Source organism: Homo sapiens, chromosome 4 (assembly GCF_000001405.40).
Source record: "Homo sapiens chromosome 4, GRCh38.p14 Primary Assembly".
Lineage (NCBI taxonomy): Eukaryota > Metazoa > Chordata > Mammalia > Primates > Hominidae > Homo > Homo sapiens.
In genome coordinates this window covers 75,080,810-75,085,158 of record NC_000004.12, presented here as the reverse complement: position 1 = coordinate 75,085,158, position 4,349 = coordinate 75,080,810, and the positions used below count along the sequence as shown (strand labels likewise).

The 4,349-nt window shown below is 37.5% G+C and overlaps 1 long non-coding RNA gene across 1 annotated transcript; it reads left to right on the top strand.

Annotated features, from left to right (window-relative positions):
* The first annotated feature begins 450 nt into the window (after positions 1-450).
* LINC02562 (long intergenic non-protein coding RNA 2562) lies at positions 451-3,234 on the top strand. The gene is made up of 2 exons (NR_149051.1): positions 451-570; positions 2,802-3,234. It is a non-coding gene; the product is annotated as a long intergenic non-protein coding RNA 2562 (long non-coding RNA).
* The last annotated feature ends 1,115 nt before the right edge of the window (positions 3,235-4,349 follow it).

The following is a 4,349-nucleotide window of genomic DNA, read 5'->3' as shown; positions in this document are numbered from 1 at the left end:
AAGATTTAGGATTAATTCCTAGAAGTTAAAGTATTTTTGTGGGCATAGTTTTAAGGCTTTCATATGTATTCTTGTATGACCCTCCAAAAACTCTGGAGAATGCATTTTCTACCGTAGTAATACCCCTAACCTGAGAAGCATAAGCTATGTCTGCCAAAACATTGTTAAATTGGTTTTTATCTCTCTGATTATTGGCAAAGTTGATCCTTCCTTCCTTCCTTCCTTCCTTCCTCCCTTCCTTCCTTCCTTCCTTCCTTCCTTCTTTCCTTCCTTCCTTCTTCTTCGTCTTTTTGCAGATTCTCCATTCAACATCTGTGCCAATTATTTTATCGGGGTGTTCATCTTGTTTTTAAAATCAAGTTCTTCTTAACATAGCAATAATTTAAATACCTGTCAATATGTTGCAAATACATTTATCCAAGTAGTTGCTATTATATATATATATATTTTTTCAGTTGAGACAGGATCTCACTATGTTGCCTTGCATGGACTGGAACTCCTTGGCTCAAGAAATCTTCTTGCCTCAGCCTCCCAAATAGCTAGGACTATATGCACATGCTACTACACCTAGTAAGTTTCTTTTTAACCTTATAATATTTTAACATATAAAGTTAATTCATTTTTAATGTATATATTAATAAATTTCCTTAGGATTTTTCCCTTTGTATTTATGCTTTAAAAACTTTTCCTACAATGAAATTACATAAATATCCACCTATTTTTTCTTATAGTTCTAAAATTAAAATTTTTTTTTGTCTGTTTTATTCAACTCTCGTATGGAAAGACCAATACAGGTATCCGTCATTACCACTGACACCTTCTGAACGAAGAGTCCTATTTAGCTTCTTGTGCAGATTTCCATATGCTCTGTCATGTGACTCCACTTATCTACTCTGGCTGCCACTGAATGAGCCAGAGGTGTGCACCTATCCCAAGAGAAACAATCTTCAGGGAACCAATTTCACAAGTCACCAGCTAGGAGGCTATGAGGTGGCCTTGCATGATAGCTCTGTCCAAATGGGAATGACTGGACAAAGAAGTCTCTTTTATAACTTGTCTTGGGATTGTAAACAAAGATATAGCTGGTTAGTAGCAAAAGGATATGACGAGAAAATGCATGCAAAATTCCCACGAGACAGAGAAAACCATTAGTAAGCAGAAGATATGAGAAAGCAGAAGCTATAAAACAGAGAATATAAAGTAGCTCGCTTTCAATAGCACCAAGAGTGTAGAAATATAATGGAAAGGTGCAAGGTCATCTGCTATTGAGGATGAACAATAGAGCAACGTTAGATGTAGAATTACTTTAGATTGCAAAACCAAAGACTTGAGAGATATCAAGAATTCAATCAGATGTCACTTTGATATTTGTAAGAGTTTTTTAGTCCTATGAAATGAAAATAAAAGATAGAAATCCATCAAATTCAGAGTGCTTTATAGTTATATGGAAACACATTTACATGTCTTAAAATCCAAAGATTGAAGTCAATTGGATGGAGGCTCCAGATTCTAAGGTAACTTGAAGATTAACAATAATATGAGCAAATCTAGGGTATGTGAGTTACGTGGCTTTCTCCTTTAAATTTTGGAGCCATTGATACAGCTATAAATAGACCCTTCCCATCAGCGTAACAGACAAGGATCTAGCCCCATCCTCGACTGATATCCTCTGGTTACTGGGAAACTTCAGCAAACTAAGAAGACAATGCCCTCCTCTTAATTATTTGGGATGACATATTTACTTCCTAGTGAGTATGCTGGATATTCTCTTATTTGCTCTTTATTCCTTAAGATTCACTCTCTTTCCCTCTCTACTCTTCTCTGAACCCCCAGGAAGCTGATCTGTAACAAGCAGATCAACCAGGCTCTCTTGTTTTCTGGCTTCCAGAGGTTCAGAGGGTGACAGAGAAGAGAGGGGTGAAGTATTTGTTCCCCTGTCTTTCTACATGTCTGGCTTCAGATTGGCAGTGGCTGTGCTCCCCGACCCAAAGCCACGGCTCCTGTCAGGGGACCACCTGACAGCTCCAGGTTTTACTGCATTCTGATAAATGCCCCTTTAGACCTAGATATGGTATCTGACCTCTTGTTGCTAGCCCTGGGTTTTTTTGCCATTATTGTTAGTTTCCACCACATTTTTGTCAATAATCATTTAGCTAAACTTTTGTCCATTACCGTGTCTGAATGTGTCATCAATGTCCTGCAAGCACCCTAATGATTACATAACTGGTACCAAGAGGGGTCTCAGAAATAAGCTATTAAAATGGGATTTTGGGATCGAGTGTCTCACTTATTTGATGCAAAGATAAATAATCTTGTTTTTTTTTTGTCTGGGACACTGGTAATCCATGGTATGTGGTGTTATCATGATTACTCAAACTATCATCAGTAGTAGTATAGAATGGAGTGCAGGTGGAGGATGAGGGATTAGGAGATAAAGCTGTCTAATTCTCCCGGCATCCTTTATTGAATAACCCAGTTCATTAATTTATATTTAACATTTTAAATGTTTCTTTACTGATTGAAATAGTCTTCTTTACCATAAACTAAATTCTTTTATATACTAAGGTCTGTTCCTGGGCTATTTATTTTGTTCTATTTATTTGAGTAAGTCTCATGGGATCACTTTATTTTATTGATCCTTCCTGTAAGTCAAAGACATAACACTGGCTCATAATAATAAAAGCTTCTACTTACATAGCATTACTTTGTTCCAGGCAATTTTCTAAGTGTGTTATATATATTAACTCACTCCATCTTCACAACCACTCTGAATAGAAGCTGTTGTTATCTGTGTTTTGCAGGTGGAAAATGAAGCACAGAGAAGTTCAGTGATGGACCTCAGATACTACCAGCAGAAAGCAGAAGAGCTAGGATTTCAACTTAGGATGTCTGGATCCACAGTCTGCACTCCTACCCACTATGCTACACTGCCTCTAACTATGAGGAAGCAAGGGCATTTTTTTTTTTCTGGTGACTAAAAAGATAAGAGTTCAAGTATGTGGCTCCTGATAATCTAACTTATACAGCCTGGAAAAATTGATAGTTACTATATCCAGACTGTCTCATTCAATTAACAGTTTCTCAAGTAATCTTCTAGTTACTGTCGTATTTTATCTGTATCAACTTAGCAAACCAAGTCCAAAACATTTTATATGTGTCTATCTTTCCTGCTGTTCATATTATTGAGTTAGCCAAATAAATTCAATTTTTTTTCTACTGTTTGTTTCTCACAAATTATGACTGGCATCTGTATATCTGGGAAGGTTCTACTGCATTGCTGTATTATCACTATATAATTATAAGAGATCACAGAGTGCATTGATGAAGGCCATGTTGAGACATGATGAAACAGGGTCCATTGTGACTGGGTGAAACTGTCTTCAATTTCCTGGTCTATAAAGCAGAGGTGAGAACAACTGACTCATAGCATTGCGGTGAATATTAGATTAAATAAGATTATGTATGTGGGAGTATCTAATTGTGTCTGGCATGGGGTAGGTCTTCATGCACTGTAAGTTGAATCTAAATCATTGTAGGCTGTGGTTATTATATGGCCAAGACTAAAAGAGGAGATGAGGAGTTTTATACATTCATTGAATACTTTCCACAGTCTAGGCACTATACTTGGTGGTTACATGCATATAGTTTTATATAATGGAATTAGTAAGTACTTTTATAAGATTACTTCCCTATGAGGTATAAGGCCTAAAATTAAGTTCCAACATTTTGCGCTGCCTTTATATCTGGTGAAATCAGGGGCCTGGAGGGTCTTGAATATCCCAATCACAAGTTCTCCCCACTCTGCTCTTGTGGATAAAGTCTCCAACCAGATAACCCTCTTAATCAAAGGGACCAGGGGCAGTTCCTACTTATCCTTGAATAGGTATTTCAGTCCCTGATAGCCTGTAGATTTAGTTTCAAAAGTCACTAATATTTTCCCACAGGAAATAGGGGGCAGCTCACCCTCTTGAAACTAAAATGTCTGCCTCCCATAGCCCTCAGTTATTGACTCTATTCCTGAGTGCAATCTCTCCATGGCCCAGTGAATTGTGCTATGTATATTATGCCACCGTGTGGTGTGGGTATATGTACTAACAAACAGCTGTGATCACATTGGTTCAGTTTCAGGTGTTGTGTGTTTGTTCATCCCCATAAGTCTAAGCTGAGAATCCGTTAAACAACAAGGTGAAATAAAAGGTTGTCAAACACCCTAGGAGAAGAAATTGTGCTGAATGAGTCCCACTGAATTTCCCAGATCATTGCTTCCCAACTTTAATGTGGAAACCAGTTACCTGGGGATCTAGTTAAAATGTTCATCTGACTCAGTAGGTCTGCAGTGGGGCCTGAGA